This window comes from Homo sapiens, chromosome 4 (assembly GCF_000001405.40).
Source record: "Homo sapiens chromosome 4, GRCh38.p14 Primary Assembly".
In the NCBI taxonomy this organism is placed as follows: domain Eukaryota; kingdom Metazoa; phylum Chordata; class Mammalia; order Primates; family Hominidae; genus Homo; species Homo sapiens.
Window position 1 is genome coordinate 15,523,282 of NC_000004.12, and position 21,073 is coordinate 15,544,354.

The 21,073-nt window shown below is 40.2% G+C and overlaps 1 protein-coding gene across 5 annotated transcripts in view, besides 1 other annotated feature; it reads left to right on the top strand.

Moving 5' to 3' along the window:
• CC2D2A (coiled-coil and C2 domain containing 2A) overlaps positions 1 to 21,073 on the top strand; it is a 131,693-nt gene that overhangs the window by 53,417 nt on the left and 57,203 nt on the right. For all 5 annotated transcript variants that reach the window (NM_001080522.2, XM_047416010.1, XM_011513872.4 and 2 more), the window contains 6 exons: positions 4,166 to 4,375; positions 5,339 to 5,445; positions 9,912 to 10,052; positions 13,639 to 13,795; positions 14,618 to 14,856; positions 17,556 to 17,733. In NM_001080522.2, coding sequence (NP_001073991.2) covers positions 4,166 to 4,375; positions 5,339 to 5,445; positions 9,912 to 10,052; positions 13,639 to 13,795; positions 14,618 to 14,856; positions 17,556 to 17,733 — 1,032 coding nt within the window. The remainder of the gene's footprint in view (positions 1 to 4,165; positions 4,376 to 5,338; positions 5,446 to 9,911; positions 10,053 to 13,638; positions 13,796 to 14,617; positions 14,857 to 17,555; positions 17,734 to 21,073) is intronic.
• Positions 20,407 to 20,988: an enhancer, noted in NCBI's record as "OCT4-NANOG-H3K4me1 hESC enhancer chr4:15545311-15545892 (GRCh37/hg19 assembly coordinates)". NCBI's record gives its function as "activates a minimal SCP1, AML or CMV promoter by ChIP-STARR-seq in naive and primed H9 embryonic stem cells {active_cell/tissue: H9 hESC(naive and primed)}" and the evidence as "EXISTENCE:reporter gene assay evidence [ECO:0000049][PMID:30033119]".

Below are 21,073 nucleotides of genomic sequence, written 5' to 3' on the forward strand. Positions count from 1 at the left end.
AATACAGAGGGAGCAATCTTAGCTTGGCCATAGAGAGACTTTGTGCCTTGGCTGGAAAGACAGAAATGGAAGCAGGTGTTAAAGGCCCTGCAATGTGCAGGAGCCTCCCTTTTTCAGAACTGCATACCCACTGGAGGACTGTGTCATGATTCCAAGCTCCCGCAGAGGTACCACTAGATAAAACTGTCACTTTCCCATCATTGTTCTCACCAGTTTTTCACCAAAGCATTGTTAATCTGCTGCGTTCTAAGCACTTCACTACACAAGACTCTCTTGGTTGCATATGACAGAAACCCATCACAAACTAGCTTAAGCAAAGAGGGAACTTAGTGGCTCAAAAAACTGGAAAGGATCTGGGAATAAATCATAAAATGAAGGAGAACCTTTAGGAAACAAGGTCTCAGGGGCTAGGACCAGGGATTTGATGCCGGCAGGCCTCTCTTCCACCCCTCTTTTCTCTGATTCTTCTTGAATACTGGTGGGCCTCATTCTCTGCAATTGCAGGCATGACAGAATTCTCTACACATAAGGGGATGTGTCCTTTGATAGCCTAAGCTTAACAACTCCAGAAGGAAAGAATCATATTTTTCCCCACAGTTCACATTATCAATACCAAAAAATAAACTCTAGTCAGTGGCAAGTGGATCATTATCCACTAACCTCATGTCCAGAAAACATGGCATGTTTCCAGAAGACGGGAAAGGAGAAATCTTCCCAGGGAAGACCAGAATAATAATTCTAGAATCTACTGCAGGCTCTGAGGTGGACCCAGACTTTGTTGCTATTATTTTTTCAGGGCAAATGTAGAAACTTGTATTTTAAACTTACCAATGATTATTAATTTTCTGTACATTTTTGTTTGTTTGTTTTGAGACACAGCCTCGCTCTGTTGCCCAGGCTGGAGTGCAGTGGTGTAATCTCGGCTCACTGCAACCTCCGCCTCCTGGGTTCAAGCAATTCTCTGCCTCAACCTCCCGAGTAGCTGGGATTATAGGCACCCGCCACCAAACCCGGCTAACTTTTGTATTTTTAGTAGAGACGGGATTTCACCATCTTGGCCAGGCTGGTCTTGAATTCCTGACCTCGTGATCCACCCGCCTTGGCCTCCCAAAGGGCTGGGATTACAGGCATGAGCCACTGCACTCGGCCTTCTGTAAAATTTTTAATTTTTTTTTTTTTTTTTTTTTGAGATGGAGTCTCACTCTGCTGCCCAGGCTGGAGTGCAGTAGCGCAATCTTGGCTCACTGCAAGCTCCGCCTCCCGGGTTCACGCCATTCTCCTGCCTCAGCCTCCCAAGTAGCTGGGACTACAGGTGCCCGCCACCACGCTCGGCTAATTTTTTTGTATTTTCAGTAGAGACGGGGTTTCACCGTGTTAGCCAGGATGGTCTCGATCTCCTGACCTCGTGATCTGCCCGCCTTGGCCTCCCAAAGTGCTGGGATTACAGGCGTGAGCCACCGCACCCGGCTTTAATTTTTTTTTCTCCTTTGGTATGCATCTCTGCACATGGTGAGAACATCAATAGATAATCCATATTCATCACCTCTTAGCATTTCAGTTTTCAGTTGAAGACTAAAAAATCAAATCAATTTTAAAGTTAAAATATACTCTAAATATTATCCCTCCTTGGGAGTAATTGTTGCTATTGTGTTTATGATAGTCATCAATAAATAAGAAAGGAAAACAGACGCAACAAAAAGAAAGACAAGGAACTAGGTGTCTTTCTCCCTAATAGGAAGAGAGTTGAGGTCTTTTGATCCAGTTAGCCCAATGACTACTAAGTGTCCTGAAACACTTTTACACTTGCTTGAGCTGAGTCTAAGGCAGAGACCACTAGCAGGTTTTGGAACTTAGGCTAATGCAGATTTGTGGAAGGAGATGCAAAGTACAGGTGACCTAAGTTGCATTACAAGTAAATAGAACCACTCTACCCACGTTATTTACTCATACCAAGAAGCGTACAAGATGGAACCTGAGAGCCACACCCTGAGTGATCTCATAACTCTGGAACCCCATAGGTAAGAGGCAAGGCAAAGCAAGAATGAGCAGCTGCAAAGCAATTAGAGAGGAATTTTCCATTATGTCTGTGGTTTGAAGTCTAGTTGTACATGTATTTGTGAGGTGGAAATTTTTAATTAATCCAGGTAATCTGGGTTATAAAACACAGAGTGGTCACATGGAGATTAAAAACTAATAATACTAATGCAGTTTATAATTGAATACTTATACCTGAATGAAAGAGAAAAAAAAAATGGCCCTCCATTGTTGCAGTCTGAAGTGTAGGGATATTAATGACCAGATCTGATCTCTGAAAGGCCACCCAGGGCTTTCATAAGATACAAAAGACCAGTGGAAGCTGATCCATGTCCCAGTGGTTTTTCCTTCTATAAATCCAAGTGAAGATTCTTGGAAGAAATTGTTGTTACTGTGTTCATAATAGTTCTCGATATATAAGAAAGGGAACAGATACAACAAAGAGAAAAGGAACTAGAGGTCTTTCTCTCTAATAGTATGGGAGTTGTGGTCTTTTGGGCAGTCTAGCCCAGTGGCTGCAAGGAGTCCTGGAAGCTTTTTATACTTGGTTGGGCTAAGCAAAAAGCAGAGACCACCAGCAATTATTGGAATGTGGGGTAATGCAGATTTGGGAAATACAGCATATTCCAGAAAGTACTGCAATATAGTCAATTCATCCTGATTTGAGCCTAAAATATTTGTAAGCACATTCCAGTTTTCAAGGGCATTTTTAAAATAAAACAATCTGTTCAAAACTTATAATCATAGGACTCTAATGCTGGAATCCCCTCTTCTGGGCTGGGCTTCCTACCTCCCTCTGCACATCCCAGACTTCATGCTTTTAGATCCTAGGGCTGTCTTCCCTTCTAAATTGATTGCTGCTTGAAGACAGGCTGTATCACACTGTAGACATCCATTAATCTTTGTTGAGTAAATGAGATGATGCGTGTGAAATGCCTGATATGATACCTAGTGATCTACGAAATGCTAATTTAATCTTTTTCCTTAGCCTCCTATTTCTACACATGAAAAATTAGAGGCCCAGAGATGTATAGTGACTTGCCCAAGGTCTCAGAGCAAGTTCAAGGTAGAGCCAGGCCTAGAATCCAAGTCTCCTAGCCCAGATCTAGCATGTTTACATAACACCATGCAAAAGAATTAAATGAAGAGTTTGCTGAACATGTTACCCATAATTTAGGGAGAATAAAAGCTTCTTTTCTGATTAGAATTTTTACACTTTTCCTTTAAGCTCATGATTTGTAAATAATTCACTTATGCCACATTATCATTATCATACATTATCATTTTCTAGATAAATAGCTCATCTCTGCAAAAAGGAAGGATCAAGTGATGTCTCAACCACCATATCCTTACTATAGTCAGTCTTTATAATGAGAAAAAATAAAGGCACAAAATCAAAGATGTCTCCTCTCCACCCTTGAGCTCCCACCCACAGTAGCTGTAGTAATCAAAGTAAATATCTTGAGGATTTTAAGGAAGAAAAGCAAAGAGATGTATCTGATACATTATATACCAAACGATCCAAGACATTCCTATTGGAGACTTCTGTTTCTGTTTTCTACACACTTGGCTCAGCTGCACAGCCCCCACTCTTATTTTGCAAACCAACATCCCTCCTCCCCATGAAGACTGAGTGCCAGCATGATGCTCAGTTAGGTAGATGTCCCTTGCTGCTATCTACAAAATGAAGCCTTCTCCACATGTTTTAAAATGTAAATACATGGGGTATGTCCAGGATCCAAATAATGATCGGTTTGAACTAGAATCTATGCTCCTCCCAGTAAAAGAATTTCAAGGTCACCAGCTACAAAACCCAAGATTCCAAGAAACAAGGTAGTCTGCATGAAAAAGATTAGAACTACAACTTAGGCAAGTAATGAAACCTAAAAGACTTAGGAAAGCAAGATTGAAATGGTTTCTTTTCTAACTCCCAGTCTTTCATTTTGCTGTTCAAATATTCAAAAAAGAGCTGGCCTCTAAAACCTGGAAATAAGTAATCAAGCATTTTTCACCTGACTAGTCCAGGATAGGAGGTATTTTGCATCTGACCGTTTTCCCATTGTGGATTAGAGAATCATTATCTAGTAAGTGCTTTAACTGTGTTCTGTCTACACTCTGCTTTCCTTGGCAGGCTGTAAAATACGTTCACAGTAGTCAGCATGTGATCAGATCTGGAGACCCTCCTGGAAATTTCCAACTGGACATTGATATTTCAGGGTTAATCTTCACTCATCATCCCTGTTTTAGCCGAGAGCATGTTTTGGCAGCCAAGCTGGCCCAGTTATATGACCAGTACCTTGCAAGACACCAGAGAAACAAGGCGAAATTTCTTACTGATAAGGTACATGTGATTTCTTCCATAATGATTGTCAATGGAGTTGGTTCTTCCAATGAGCCCAAACAATGAAAATTTCTAACAGCAAAATGTTCATGCCCCTCTTTCACATGTTTCCTCGGTTTAGGATGTGTGATACATTATCCAGCTAGAGACAAAAGGGAAAGATAGAGTTGGTATACATGTGATGTGTACAAATTTATTGGCACACACTCGCCCTAAACAGAAGACTTTCTGTAAACAGTACAGCACCCACCAGAAGTGGGTGTTAGGTGGAAGATATGTGGCTATTACTTGCTTCCGTGATCTCAGAACCTGAGAAAATTGGTGGCTTGAGAATATCTGTCCTTAGAAACATTCTCATCTTGATATTTATTACCCCATCGTGTAGCACTTAAACACAAGTCAGTGTTTCAACTGATGCTCAAAGGAATGGCTAAGCATTTGGATTTATTCCCAATGTGACACTATCCCATGGGATTTTTGTGGGTAATTTTGACTATAGGCAATTTTGGTCTCACGCCCTGACTTTAAAACCTTACTGCCCAAAGAAGAGATAACTTCACAATATCTCGTTTTACGAGTCTGTAATTTTATAGTTTCTTTATATCACAAGAATACCATCATATGTCCTGGACCCAGACAAACATGCTTTTAGCTTTGGAAGAAAACTTGGTTCTAAGATATACACATAAAAGTAATATTTTCATAAGCAGCTTGATTTTCTGGGCCATGGAACAAGGATGGACATACACTATGCTTTACTAATCCAGTTTCTTCAAGAACAGATGAAACAGTTCTCCATCATAATTCATTTATGTGAAAGTCTGGAGACAGCCAGATGCTTGAACATCCGTTCCATTCACAGACTGATGGCACCATTTTGCCCAGGAGAAGTGGGTGGGTCCAGTTGCACTGCAGTAGGGAATAGAGTTTGTAACCCAAAACTTGTATCCATGTCGTTTTAAGCTCCAAGCTTTAAGAAATGCTGTTCAGACTGGCCTTGATCCAGAAAAACCTCATCAGTCTCTCGATACCATCCAAAAAACCATCAATGAGTATAAATCTGAAATTCGGTGAGTAAAGTTTGTTAAGTGTAACTACTTTTTTTCCCGTTAGATGTGCACTTGTTAGAGTTTATTTTTCCAGATACTTTTTCTGAATGCAATGAATACATGTGAAATTATGCCATATAAAACAATCAAATACATCTATCATATTAACACAGTATTTGAAGTCCAATAATGTGAATGAGGATGTAAGGAAATGGTCACTCTGCAGGTGTAAGGGAAAAGTGCTACAGCTACCGCTTCTGAGAGCAGCTTGGCCCCAACTCATAGAATGTTGAAGAAGCTCATCAGTTTGGACCCAGCAATTCTGATTCAGATACAAGATGTTCTTTAAGGAGCTATGTGTGCATATGTACATGGGGACATGTGCAAAGATATGCACAGCATCATTCAAGAGTAAGACAGACTGGACACTGTGGCTCATGCCTGTAATCCCAGCACTTTGGGATGCCAAGGTGAGGACAGTTTGAAGCCAGGAGTTTGAGACTAGCCTGTACAAAAAGTTTAAAAAATTAGCTGAGTATAGTAGTATGTGCATGTAGTCCCAACTACTCGGAAGGCTGAGGAAGGAGGATCGCTTGAGCCCAAGAGTTTGAGGCTGCAGTGAGCTAGGATTGCACCATTGCACTCCAGCCTGGGTAACAGAGTGAGACCTTGACTCAAAAAAAAAAAAAGAAAAAAGGAAGCCACTAGAAATAACCCAGTAGCAGAGTAAACCCATCTTGATATACGCTTACAGTGAATTTCTGTACCACAGTTAAAATGACTGACTCATATCTGCAGGTATCAACATGGATAAGGAATCATATCATGTATACCATTCTGCAACTTGCTTCTTTATATACAATGCATCTTAGACATTTTCCTGTTACAGTGCATGTAGATTTATATCATGCTTTAAAGGCTGGAATTATGTAGATTTATTGTAGTTTGTATAATTCTCAACTGATACGCATTTGCATTTTTATTCTATTTTTTATTATTTAAATTCTACTGTAATTCTACTGTAATTTAAATTCCTAAATATTATATTTGTGTACCTGTATGAGTACTTCCACAGAACAAATCCTTAGAACAGGAAATAATAAATCGAGGCTTTTTTTTTTTTAAGGTATATCTCTCCATTTATTTATTTAGGTCTTTTTATTTTTTTATTTATTTTTTAAATTTTATTTTTTTTAATTTTATTATTATTAAGTTTTAGGGTACATGTGCACAACGTGCAGGTTTGTTACATACGCATTTCTTTTTTATTTTTATTTTTTTTTTGAGACGGAGTCTCACTCTGTCGCCCAGGCTGGAGTGCAGTGGTGCGATTTCGGCTCACTGCAAGCTCCGCCTCCCGGGTTCACGCCATTCTCCCGCCTCAGCCTCCCGAGTAGCTGGGACTACAGGCGCCCGCCACTACGCCAGGCTAATTTTTTGTATTTTTAGTAGAGACGGCGTTTCACCGCGTTAGCCAAGATGGTCTAGATCTCCTGACCTCGTGATCTGCCCGCCTTGGCCTCCCAAAGTGCTGGGATTACAGGCGTGAGCCACCGCGCCCGGCCAGAGGCATTTCAATGTATACTTTTCTTTTTGCAATTTAGCTATGAGTTGGAAATTCTTCCAGCAAAGTAGAAATTAGTGAAGTTTGTAACCTATAATTGCAAAAATATGGAGTATATTTTTAAATAAAAATTATTTTTTATATTAAAAGGAAAACATATTGCAGTCTCCTTGTGAGAATAATTTTTGTTTTGGCATACATTAAGAAAAAAGTGACAAAAAGCTATTCTGAAAGCAATTGTGATTTTATATGGAACTGTCTTTATTGGTCACTATTTGAAAAACATCAGAAATACGTGTGAGATCTAGAGACAATGCCCAGCAGAGTCATGGACAGCAGACCCATTACAATAATTCTGTGCCCTTGGAGATGAAAGTCTTTGAGATTTAGCATTTCTGACCCAGTAAAAGAGATTTCCATCCCTTGCTGACTTTTCACTAGGTGGTAAAACAATTTCTAAGCAGATGGTCTATTGCTGGATGTTTCATCACATGGATCCATTTCCTCAAGCCCCCTGGGATCTGATCAGCCACCCCCGAGAACTCCCCACCTCAAGCATCTGCTGAGCCCTCCACTGGTGCAGTTAACCCGGGCCAGCACCATAAAGCATTTTCCATTTTATTTTCCATAGCGGCATCATGACTACATTCCTTATCCTCTGAACGGAAACCAGGATGTAGAAGGAAGAAAACATGAATGGTCATGCAACATAGGAATATTTTACTTAACCTCTCTGTAGGGTCTTTGCCCTCAGATGTGCTCAGTCTTGAACACATAAAAATTCTATGACCCCAAGTCCCCATCCAGCTACTACTTTATCTCTATATTTCCTTTAACAGCCAAACACCAGGAAAACATTTGCTATTCATACTATCTCCGCTCTCTCCCATTTCCAAACCATCCTATCTCACTCCTGTGCCCAACTTTCCTCTGAAGCAAATCTTGCCACAGCCCCTGGGGACCTCCACCTGGGAAAGTGGAATGGAACCTCTCAGCCTGCTCAGTGCTTGAACGCAGACACCATCCCCACGCATTGCCTGTCAGGACAGCCTGCATCTCCACACACCACCCTCTCCTGGGTGTCCTCGTCCCTTTCCAGCCATTTGTCCTTCTCATCATTCTTTGACCATCATTCTCCTCTGTCCAGCTTATACGTGTTCCGAGTCTCAGGTGTTACTGTTGTTTTCTTTTTACCCCCTTTTTTAAATTGCATTTTCTCCTGAAATGAATCCACTTTGTGGCTTTAAACATCACCCAGATGCCAGTGGCTCCCAAAGTTTCATTTCTGAGCAGGAGTCCACTGCACCGTCCAGACCCCATCGATATCAGATTTCAGAAGACTGTTCCTGACTCCCTAATCAAAATTGCCTTTCCCTCTTCCTCCCCAGCTCTGGTCACAAATTTTAATTAAATATTATTTTGTAATTTTCTGCTTCTTTAGCTCGTATGCAAATTTTTCTTGCTAAGAGCTCTTTTTAGCATTTCTGGGAAACTATCTTTTTTTTAGATACTAAAAAAGAAAGTAGAAAATATATCAGAAAGCCTGAAGATGTCATGTAACTCAGTAAAATAATTTTATATTGTGGTTTTTAAAACTGAAGCAGGGGTGATAACAGCTAAAGGCATAGGAGACGAACTGACCACCTGATGGTGACAGATAAGATTTGTAGGCCTCTTACTTGGTATCGGGCAAGGTTCTAAGCACATTATGCGGATTAGCTCATTAACTCCTCCAAGCAACCCAGTGCAGTCAACTCCTACCATACCCATTTTACAGATGTGAGCCAGCAAAGGGAAGTAGCTTACCCAATCCAGCTAGTAAATAGTAGAGCCAAGATTCAAACCTGTGTAGTCTGGTTGCAACAACTGCACCCTTAACCACAATGCTTTACTGGTCCTCAAAGAGAATATTTCTTATTCTAGTTTGTTGCTTTTTTGCTTTTCTAAGGGCTTCAGAAAGTCCTAGATCTTGACTACCTAACCACTATCATTTTCTGCCATCTTCCTTTTCTACAGCTACCAGTTGATCTACTAGAAACCTAGACCCCCTTATTTCTCTGTACCACTAAGTCATCACACGTACAACCTCCAGACTTAGGCCTGCCTTCTGGAGGTCATGAGGTGCTAATTTGTGAAATGCTACATCCTTGGTTCCTCATGATACTTTCTTAGACAAACCTCACACTGATATCATTTATGTATGTGTCCGTCCCCTGAGCTAAACTATAAACTCCCTGAGGATGGACATATGGAGATATCTTCTGTCTCTTAGACACTTCTAAATCCCGTGGAATGACTCATGGCACTTGTTCAAAAATTTAGTAATTGTCTCATTATGCAACAAAATGCATTTGGTATCTAAACATGGCTATCATTTGTAAAAAGAACTTAAAGTAAGGTATTAAATAAAGATGAAACCATTTGCAAATGATGCCTCTTCAGATCAAGCCAAAAATATTGGTAATCTAGTGAATATTGAAAATCTCCAAGGCATGCAATAACAATACTTCATCTCCTCAGTGTGGAACTTGTGATTTGTGTTAACACAGGAAGACTTTACATGTATTTGTTGCTAACTAGGACAGCAGCATACTTTGCTGTGTTTATAATAATTTAGTCCATGAGAACTGCCTTTGTTTTCTTACCTTCAAAGGTGACTATTTGTTGAAGGATGCATAGTTTTAATACAAATTTTTTAAGTACTTAAAGTCAGATCTGCCTAAAGAGAACAAAATCAAGTAAATCTCTCAAGACAGGTTGACATCCTATTGTCTTTACATTCACATTTGTATTTAGTTTTCTGTACTTGTTTCAAAATACGGTAGCTATCAAATTGAATATACAATCACTGTAGCATTATTAATTTCTTTTGCAAACACACCTGACTTTTTAATATATACTCATGTGTTATTATATCTTGCAGACAAACAAGAAAATTCCGTGATGCTGAACAAGAAAAAGATAGAACATTGCTTAAGACTATCATAAAAGTTTGGAAAGAGATGAAATCCCTTCGAGAGTTCCAGAGATTTACAAATACTCCCTTGAAACTTGTTTTGAGAAAGTAGGCTTTTTTGAAAAATTATTTTATTGGGCTATATCATACATTAAGAAAAATGTATAAAACATGGATACAGTTTTAAAAGTAATTACAAACAAATATGCATGTAACCACTTCCCAGGTTAAGAAATAGAACATTGCATACCTGAGCAGCCCCTCCCAAATAACATTCTCCTCAATCCCCAAAATAACAACTACCTAGACTTTTGTGATCATTGTTTTCTTGCTTTTATACTTTTGCCAACTATGTGCAATCTCTAAGAATATATAGTTTAATATTGCCTGTATTTGACTTATACATAACTGAAAGTATGTTGTGTGTATTCTTTAGGGAATACATACATGCTTCTTTTCTTCAGTACTGTGTTTGTGAGATTCATCTACTTGACAGCACATAGCTGTAGTTAGATTTCTTTGCTTTACAATACTTCATTATATGAATATAGCCAAACTTGTCCATTTCTGTTGATGGGCATTTGAGTTTATTCCATTTTCAACTGTTACAGAAACCACTTCTGTACTTTTGGCATTTTTGTACTTGTCTTTTAGGGTACATGTGCCCAAGATTTCATTTCAACTTTACATTGCTGATTCCAAACGTATTCCAGAAGTTGTGCTGATTCATGCCTTCATGGGGGTTCTCGTAGGTGCTTATCACCCATATCATGCCTATCACTTGGTGGTGTTAATTAACATTTTGCTGACCTGCTGACATGTTTTAATTTATATTTTCCTGACTATTCATGAAGGTGAGCATTTTTTCATACATGCATTGACTATTTGGATTTCCTCTTTTGTGAGGTGTCTCTTCAAGGCTTTGGTCACTTTTTGGACTGGATTATTTATCTTGTTATCTTTTTTGGTAATTTGTAGGCATTCTGCATATAACATGGGAATTTGTTAGTGGTGTGTATTGCAGATATCCTCTCCTACTCATTAGTTGTCTTTTTACTCTCTTTTTGTTGCTTTTTGATGGATACAAATTCTTAACTTTAAAAAGATAAAATACATTAGTTTTTTCTTTTACTGTTGGTGCTTTTTAAATGCTTCCCCTGAGTCATATAGATATTCTATGATATTGTCTCCTATAACCTTTATAATTTTAGCTTTCACATTTCATCTTTAATTTATTTGGAATTGACCTTCATTTGTGGTGTGGAGAAAGTAAGCTTTGATAATATTTCTGCTACCTAATTCACTAGACTTTTATATATGCTTAAGAGTACAGCTTATCACAACAAGAGCATCTATGCTGCTGGTGTTGGTCCCTTTCTGATTGTTTCACCTGGATAAGTGTTGTACCCATATACTGACACAAATAGTAACAAATGTGGGCAGTTATCAGACCTATTGCTTTGAAAACAGCCATATTACAGCCAAAGATAGCTACAAATTGTAAGTTTTCTTTGGCTGTAATTATAAAATTGAAAGAAAAAAAAAGCTTAGTTTTCAGGACAAGTATAAGACTGTGTGATCTTTGAGACTAGGGACCCTGTTGTCGTTGTATATCTGGTCCCTACCAGAGCACCTGCCACTTAGTATCTGCTCAGTTAATGTTGGTTAACAATAGTAACAAATTTAGGCAGTTATCTGACACATTGCTTTGAAAACAGCCATATTTCAGCCAAAGATAGCTGCAAATTGTAATTTTTCTTTAGCTGTAATTATAAAATTGAAAAAAAAAAGGTTAGTTTTCAGGACAAGTGTAAGACTGTGTGATCTTTGAGAGCAGGGACCCTATTGCCATTGTATATTTGGTCCCTACAAGAGCACCTGCCACTTAGTATCTGCTCAGTTAATATTGGTTAACAAATTCAAATATGCTACCCCACAAAAATAATGGCTGTCTCCCAGAAATTCCAGTGTTTGTGCTTTCGAATTCCATCTCCTAGGCTGAGCCTCCCACAGAAGCAGTACAGAAATCCTTGCCAGATTATTTTCTCTCTCCCTCCCTCCCATCATCCCTGCTGCTAACTCTCCCTCCATCCCGCCCATCATCCCTGCTGCTAACTCTCCCTCCATCCCTCCCCTCCTTCTTTTTGAGTTTATAGGGTAAACTAAATTTATAGGCATTTTACCCATAAGGTCATAACACTCCTTCCCCTGATAAGTGGCTATCTTCCAAATTCTTTTGGAGTACCCTTTTTTCACATTCTTGATTCATCTAGCCACCTTATAATAAAGCATAGTTTTTCCCACAAAAAAAAAACTATTCAAGTTTATTCATGCTTTTGAATAACAATGAGAAAAGTGAATGGTTTTCTGTATATCAGAGATGGAACATAATTTTGAAGCCGAATTCCCCCTGGTGTTTATAAATTTCGGGTACCACTGTGCATCCAAAGTGACTTATTTGGTAGTCATCCTAGAGAGCTGCAAGAGCTTGTGCCTTGGGGGACTGTAAACTGCTTAAACTCCAGGCGATATGTGTCCATAAGCAAATATTTGTCAGCTTTATGCACTTGTCTAAGTTTATGTAAAATGGATTACGAAGCTTAACTGCCTTGGGGGAAATAGTGCAGTCAGTATTCGGCACCATCTCCAAAGTGCTGGGTGGGATGGATGAAGTCACCACACATTTGCCGCCATCTACCAGGAGAGCCATGCTGTTCATCAACATGTTAAGGGCTCTGAAAAGATGACCAGCAAGGAACCTTTCACACTTATTTAATCCAGTGTTAATATGGCCACAATATCTTTTCCTGGTGGTACATCTCACAGAACTAATGTCCTACAGAACACACTGTGGGAAACGGTGGTTTGAACTGGGCTGATCTCCTGGTGGAGTATAAGCAAAATCATCAAAGAAAAACCCAAATCCTCCATCCAAAGTCAAAAAAGTGGTTTCACCATCATTCTCAGCAAACTATCACAAGGACAGAAAACCAAACACCGCATGTTCTCACTCACAGGTGGGAATTGAACAATGAGAACACGTGGACACAGGGCGGGGAACATCACACACCAGGGCCTGTCGGGGGTGGGAGGGTTGGGGGAGGGATAGCATTAGGAGAAATACCTAATGTAGATGATGGGTTGATGCATGCAGTAAACCAACATGGCACATGTATACCTATGTATCAAACCTGCATGTTGTGCACATGTACCCTAGAACTTAAAGTATAATTTTAAAAAATTAAAATTAAAATTTTTTAAAAAGTGGTTTCAGGGACTCAGTAGCAACAAAATGAAGCAGTTCCTCAGAGACTTGAAGAAGTCATAAAATAACTAATGAAATTTCCACCACTATCAGCTGAGAACTTACAGGCCCCATGTCAGCACACCACACAGATCATTTAACACAGAGAGGCATGGCTGCTCAGTGTTCAGTGGGTTGGGCTCATATTCAGCCCTTCCACTCACCAGCTGTGTGTTCTTGGGAACTTACTTAACTTCTATGTGCCTCTGTCATCTCATGTATACGATGTGGATAATAATAGCATCTGCCTCACAGGATTGTGAGTTTACATGTGCGACATTTTTAGAAGAGGAACTGGCACATAGCAAGTCCAATATAAGTATTTGCTGTTATTATTGCTCTCTTACTTAATTTCCAGAAATAACCAAGGGACTACAAATTATTTTAAAGGGAAAAAGCTGACCAGAAAGCAGATGAAGAAGCATATGAAGCAGAAATTCAAGCTGAAATAAGTGAACTGTTAGAAGAGCACACGGAGGAGTACGCACAGAAGATGGAAGAATACAGAACGTCGTTACAACAGTGGAAGGCCTGGAGGAAAGTGCAAGTGTGTAAACAAACACTCAGCCTGGAATAGGGCTGGCCAGGAAGTGTCTGGGAGGGCAGCCTCCAGTACAGGAGTGGGGAAACCAGACTGGCAGACTAGGGTATCCTGTGGCTCCCTCTGTCTCTTCCCCGTCCCCTGGCTAAGGGATAAAAGGATGAATGAATTGACTGGCTAATGCATTTGCTTAAAAAGCCACCCAGCTGACTGATACCAGAGCCAGCTGTGTCCACAGAGAATGCTATGGTAGCACTCTGTGCCTATTTAAGTAATAATGTAGTAATCACTAATGCATGTGTCCAGCACTGTGCTGAGTATCTTACATGCATTATTCCATTAAATGTAGGGATTGATGCTTCTGAGTTTCCTTCAGAAAATTATATAACTTTATGCACATGACCCTACAAAACTGAGTCCAAGGGCAACAAATAATAGATCAGGTGGGCCTGCAATGCTCACTGTGCTTACATGCCTTATTTTAATATTTCAAGATGTGTACTTCGCCTTGAAAACCAAAATTAATGATCACATGAATACCTACCATTTTTTAAGCTCTTTCCAGGGACTAGGCTGTATGACAAATGCTTTTTAGGCATTTCAACAGTCTCATTTCAACAGCCCTGGGAGAAATTTCCTGGGCTCCATTCTGTAGATGAAAAAACTGAGGCACAGAGAGGTCAGGTGGCTTAGTGACCTGCCTGATTACACACTTCTGGTTGAAATGGGGCTGGGGTTTGTATCCAGGTCCATCTGGCTATGAAGACTGTGCTCTTAAATGAAATTCCAAAATTCCTGTTTGATATCATGTTGCCTCTAACTCAACAGAGGGCCAAGAAGAAGAAAAGGAAACAAGCAGCAGAAGAACATCCCGGTGATGAGATTGCAGAGCCGTATCCCGAGGAGGACCTTGTGAAGCCCAGCCCTCCAGAGCCCACTGATCGGGCAGTGATAGAGCAGGAGGTGAGGGAGAGAGCAGCCCAGAGCAGGAGGAGGCCTTGGGAGCCCACGCTGGTCCCGGAGCTAAGCCTGGCAGGAAGCGTAACACCCAATGACCAGTGCCCCAGGTGAGTGGATGCTCCGACCGTAAATGAGGCTGACATCTGATACACATGTTCACGTGGGCACATGCACACACACATGCACGACATGGGGAGTGTACACTTACTGACCTACACGAGCATCAGGAGTATCATTAACTCTAAATGAATATTAGGTTGAACCACATGAAATTGCTGACATTTGCCCACTTTAGGTGATTTCATATGATTCACCTACCTCATGCATCTGCACTGGCCACTCAGGAGCACACTGGAAAGCTCCCTGTAGGAGAAGCATCCCAGTTGCAAATCTCTGCCTGCTCTTCACAGTGGCTGTCTGTGTGGCTTTTGATTTGAGTCCCTTATCTGTAACCTCAATGAGTCCTTCAGTCCACTGGTAGCATGTCCCACCTTTCTGGCACAGGCACGGATGCCTTTCCTTGCCCCTTCCTTGATTTCAGCTGCTCCAGGGATCAGCTTTTCTCCTTGAAGACCCCCCAGAAAGTTGTGGGTGGTATTTAAGTCAGGCCATCTGAAGCACACCCTCCAGATATGATAAAAATACATGTCTAGTCATTCTCACTTGATGCCTAAGAGAAACATCATTTGATTTATATACATTTGTACATATAATAATTCATAAACATACATTTGTAAGTTCATCTTTTTAAAAATTATAACATAATAAAAATATTTTTATGTTTCCTATTTATTCTTTCCTTCACTGAATAGCCATGGTTCTCAAAGTATAGCCCCAGAATCAGCAGCATCAGCATCACTGAGGACTTGTTAGAAACATAAACTCAGGCCAGGCATGGTGGCTCATGCCTGTAACCTCAGCACTTTGGGAGGCTGAGGCAGGAGGATCGCTTGAGGCCAGGAGTTGGAGACCAGCCTGGGGAACAAAATGAGACCTCACCTCTATTGAATAAATAAATAAATACCCCAAACATTTTTAATACCTCACATTGAAATAAATATGTTTAAGAAAGATTAATAAAAACTAGCCAGATAATTAAAGTCAACCAACTAAACAGAAATTTAAAAAATAATTTTAAAAAAGAAAGAAATGCAAGCTCACAAGTTCTACCTGAGACTTACTGAACCTGAAACCCTGAGGTGGGGCCTAGAAAACTGTTCTCACAAGGTCTCCAAGTGATTCTGATGCATGTTATGGTATATCATCATTAATTAAAGGGAGTCCATTAAAATCATCGATACCACAAAATCCCAGGCTTAGTTCTCCAGTAAATAGAAGATCTATCATGAATACAGGGACTGTTGTACACTGGAATCTTCAATATCCCAACGTGAAAAATGAGAATTCAAATAAAGTCAGTCAGCCTCCGAGTTCATTAAAACGTGGGAGTTAATTAGGATGTCATTATAAGACTTCTCACAGTCTTGGTTTCAAACTTCTGCTAATGTTCTAATGATTGATTTATTCTAATGATTGATTTATTTTAAAATTATAGCTTTTTGTGCATTTTCATGTGTTCCCTCAACTTCACATATTAAGATATTATACATAAACTATTCCCCTGCACTAAGTAAGCAATTTTCAAGGCACAAGTACCATACCCTATAATTTTAATTTTGACATGAATGTTCAAAATATGTGATGACACAGCATGCTTTCTAAAAGGAAAATTTGGGCTTGATTTGGTAATCTTTTATGAGTGGAGTCTAAGTCTTCAGTGTCTTGGATACTTCTTGCAAATTTGCTGTGAAGTGTCCTTTATTAAAAAAATGCTGAAGTAATTTGAGCTATTTCATCTAGAATAAGTCTAAATTATAGACATGTAAAAAGTTAAAACTACCACCCCCTTTAATTACTAGAGAATTTCTGTTTGGAATGATGAAGAAGCTCTGAAGGTGGATAGTGGTGATGGTTAGACAACATAGTAATTGTATGTAATGCCACTGAATCATACACTTAAAAATGGTTAAAGTGATAAACATTACGTTATGTTATATATATTTTCCACAATGGAACAATTTTTAATAAACTACCACCCCTCCCCCAAAAAAAACCTAAGCTTGTTTCAAATTTTGATGCCCTAACCTTTTCCTTTCCTCAATTAGCTTGAATTGCTATTGACTTAACCAATAACTGGCATTTTTTGGTGGATGTCTATACACATATGTACAATAAAATTAAAGACCAATGGGAGGTTGTTTTTTTTTTTAACTTTCTGATTCAAATTATCTTTAAAAATAAGGAATATTTATTAATACTCTGCATCCATTGAACATTCACTTACTGTCTGAAAATGTTGAGAAAAACTTGGTATCTTGGAAAAATGAACTCGATCTAACTGCTACAATATGCTGCTGTATTTTTAGAATAAAACTTCTTACTCAAATATAAATCATTATTATCCCCTTTGTCTTGAATTTATTCCATTTAACAAGGAATATGTGAATTTAAAACTTTGGGACACAAATGTAAAGCTTGCCTGAAAAACCTGAGGAGACTGTAGCACAACAATGAATGGACTCTAGTTCTTAAATCCTCTGTGCCCTTTTCAGTGTCTGTTAATGGCTTCTCCATAAATTCCATACTACTCTGCAAGACCTGTGGCTCCTCTGGTTAAATGAGGGCTGACATGATTGGGAGAGTTGCCTGCAGTGTGTCTTGTTCTGTTCAGTTCTTATTTATCATATATTTTGGTGATCTTAGTAAATTATTACTAACTCCACCTGTGAATGGTCTCCTTTTGCAGAGCGGAGGTCTCGAGAAGGGAGGATGTAAAGAAGCGCTCAGTGTACTTAAAAGTGCTGTTCAACAACAAGGAGGTGTCCAGGACAGTCAGTCGGCCACTAGGAGCAGACTTCCGAGTTCACTTTGGGCAGATTTTCAATTTGCAAATAGTCAACTGGCCGGAGAGTTTAACACTTCAGGTACACATTTTAATTATAGTTACTGGCCGGGCACTGTGGCTCATGCCTGTACTTTGGGAGGCCAAGGTGGGCAGATCACTTAAGGCCAGGAGTTCGAGACCAGCCTGGCCAACATGGCAAAACCACATCTCTACTGTAAATACAAAAAAAAAAAATTAGCCAAGTGTGCTGGCGGGTGCCTGTAATCCCAGCTACTCGGGAGGCTGAGGCAGGAGAATCTCTTGAACCCAGGAGGTGGAGGTTGCATTGAGCTGAGATCATGCCACTGTACTCCAGCCTAGGCGACAGAGTGTGACTCTGTCTCAAAACAATAGTAATAATAATTATTATTATTATTATAGTTACTGCCCCAATAATTTTTTGTTCATTACAGCTTTGAGATGATTTTAAATCATCCATTGGTTATAAATATGTCTCGATAGAGTCTCAAGCCTCTTCCTTGGCACATCTGTTCTTAAAGTCTTGGAAGAAAGAGATCTGTTCCCCAACTCACCTACTGAAAATGCTGGCAGAATAACTCTGGCCACAGTGCTCTGGAGTGTCTGCCTTGAGATGGGAGAGGGGTGCTGAAGGGGGTGGGGCACAGGGAGATCTCCAGCTCATTCATTGAAGACATATTTCAACATCACCCTCTACAAGGACTCTAGTGTAATATAACAGAGAAATCAATTATGCCGCAATCATGGGAGGTTATGATGTGGGAAAGATACAGGTGCTAGGATCCCCCAAAAATTAATAAATCTCCTCACTAGCCTAAATCCCACCATTAGCAATATATTTATTTGAGTCTATTTTAGTTTCCTGGGGAAACTAAACTATAACAAGGAACCACTAACTTGGTGGCTTCAAAACAACAGAAATGTGTTTACTCACAGTTCTGGAGGCCTAAAGTCTGAAATCAAGGCGTCAGTAGGGCCATACTCCCTCCAAAAGCTCTAGAGGAGTATCTTTCCCTGCCTCTTCCAGCTCCTCCTGGCACTTAGAGTTCCTTGGTTTGTGTTAGCGTAACTCTAATCTCTGCTTCCATCTTCACATAGCCTTCTCTGTGTCTCTCTCTGTGGGTCCTCTTTTGTCGCTTATAAGAACACTCTTATTGGATTTAGGGCCCACCCTAATCTAATATGATCTTATCTTCATCCTTAACTAATGATATCTGCAAAGACCCCATTTCCAAATTAGGTCGCATTCTGAGTTTCTGGGCGGACATCAATATGTGGAGGATGCTATTTAACCCATTACAGTGTCTTCAGTCTTGCTTGTTCTTTCGGTGACTCTTCTCCCACAATGCTAACAGGTCTCTCTTATGATCCTAACAGGCTTGTTAACTAGGATTGCAGCTTTGTGGCATGCATGCCCTTGTTTCCCCACCACCACCCAGGCAGAAATCACAGATCCTCATCCATCACTTAGGCAGAAATTTCTCACTCCCCTCCACCACCCTTGCCAGAAAGCAATAATTGATGGTGCTATTTTTGTTGTGTTTTCCCACTGAGCCTGAATATAATTTTAGAACTCTTCTCAATACAGTACTTCAGGTAGCCACTACCTATTCCTAGTGAGTATGACTGACAAAGTCTGCAGGTACCATCATGGCTGTATAATTAATAAAATATTTACATACTCTGTACTGACTGATAAATAGCTGCTGCCCTGACCTTCCCAGATGCCATCCTGGCCACATAAGCCCCACTTCAAGGACCCCCTGGACCTTACCACAATTGACCAATTAAAGGGGGTGGCTGACCAAGGCCAGCGCCTCCAGGGTCCTGTTCCCAAGCTGTGGTGGGCAGCTCTTCTAATGAACCCAGGAGGTGGGTTCAATACTGTGTATTGTTCAGCATTTTGAATATCAAGCCCCGCCTAGATCTCAGTAGTTAAAAACCTTCTACAACCTGTAGAGGACGTTCGTGACAGCTGGGATGTGTTCTTTTGACAGTGGGAAGGAAGCACTGAATGGAAAGAGAGGAAGCGGTGCCAAGAAATAAGAGGCAGAACCTGAAAGGGCCGGCACTGGGCACCCAAGGTCAACCGCCTTGGCTTAGAATTCCTTCAGTGCCTGTGGCAGTTCTGTCCTGTACCTTTTAATCTGTGATCTGGGGGGTGGGTGAGGGCAGGGGTGGTCCTCATTTACAAAGCACCAAGCATCAAGACTCAAGCAAAATTCCTTTGCTGTATTGATAACAGGATTGATATCTGCATAGCTGAAATTTTTTTCTTGAAATTTTAGAACTTTAGAATTTGGCTTAGTCTTGTCACTCATATAACTCTTTAAAGTGCCACGTAATTTTTTTAAATGTCTGTGTATTCTGAAACTTGAAAAAAAACAAACTTTTTTGGCTGCTAACTTAAACATAATATGAGTGAGAGGAGAAAGCAAGTAGAAAATGGTTTTAGAAAGGGGATTGGAGTTGGAGGTTTGGTGAAAACCTGAGATTTTCTTAAGCCTGAAAATTCACTTTCTGAATATCAACTGGGGGAAAATAATTTCTATTAATGCTTACTTCTTCCTTGATTTATAACTCTGAATGAACACAGAGAATGAAATGAGGTGATTTTGTCTGCAGGTAAAAGTAGAGAGTTGCCCAACTCTGCACTGGAGAGGAGAACTGGGGCAGCCTTCAGATACGTGGTCACTGGACACAGCCCCTGTGAGGTCCCTGCCCCTGCTGTGGGGTCCACGTGGACTCTCTATTCCATCTGCTCTGGGGCTTCTGCTGAGGCTGATGGCCTGGAACACTTGAAGGGCTCCTCTTCCTCTGTCCTCTTAGCAGTGTCAGTGGGGTCTGTTATCCTGCTTCCTGAATTTCAGCTAATCTCTCCATCTCATCACCACTCACTGGGATGTACAATTATTTGAGCCACTTAAACTATGTACATCATCACAACTGGAAGACCATTCAATTTCAGATATGTTTAAATGATAAAGTCTATTATACTATATACCACTAACAACGGATTAAGAGCAGCCTTTCTTAGCCAGGGATTCCCTGCAGGGATTCCTTTCCATTTGGATGGAACATTTAAAATCTGAATGCCTTGCTAGGGAGAGTTGAATTCTGAAGCCTCCCATCTTCACTGCTTCCCACATCAACCTGTCTGCCGTGCCCCTGAACACATTCACTTAAATTTTAAAGTAAGACTTACTGCACACAAAACATTGTCTAAACTAAGAATAAAACTTGACTGAGAAAGTAAAGAAACGCAAACTCCAGAAGCACACTTGCCGCTCCTCTGTCACCTGCCCTGAATAGAGGAGGAGCTGCAGGGGCCCACATGAGTCCCTCCCTTTCTGCAGGCATCAATAGTGAAGAGGTCAGTATTCAGAGTTCTGCCTCCTAGT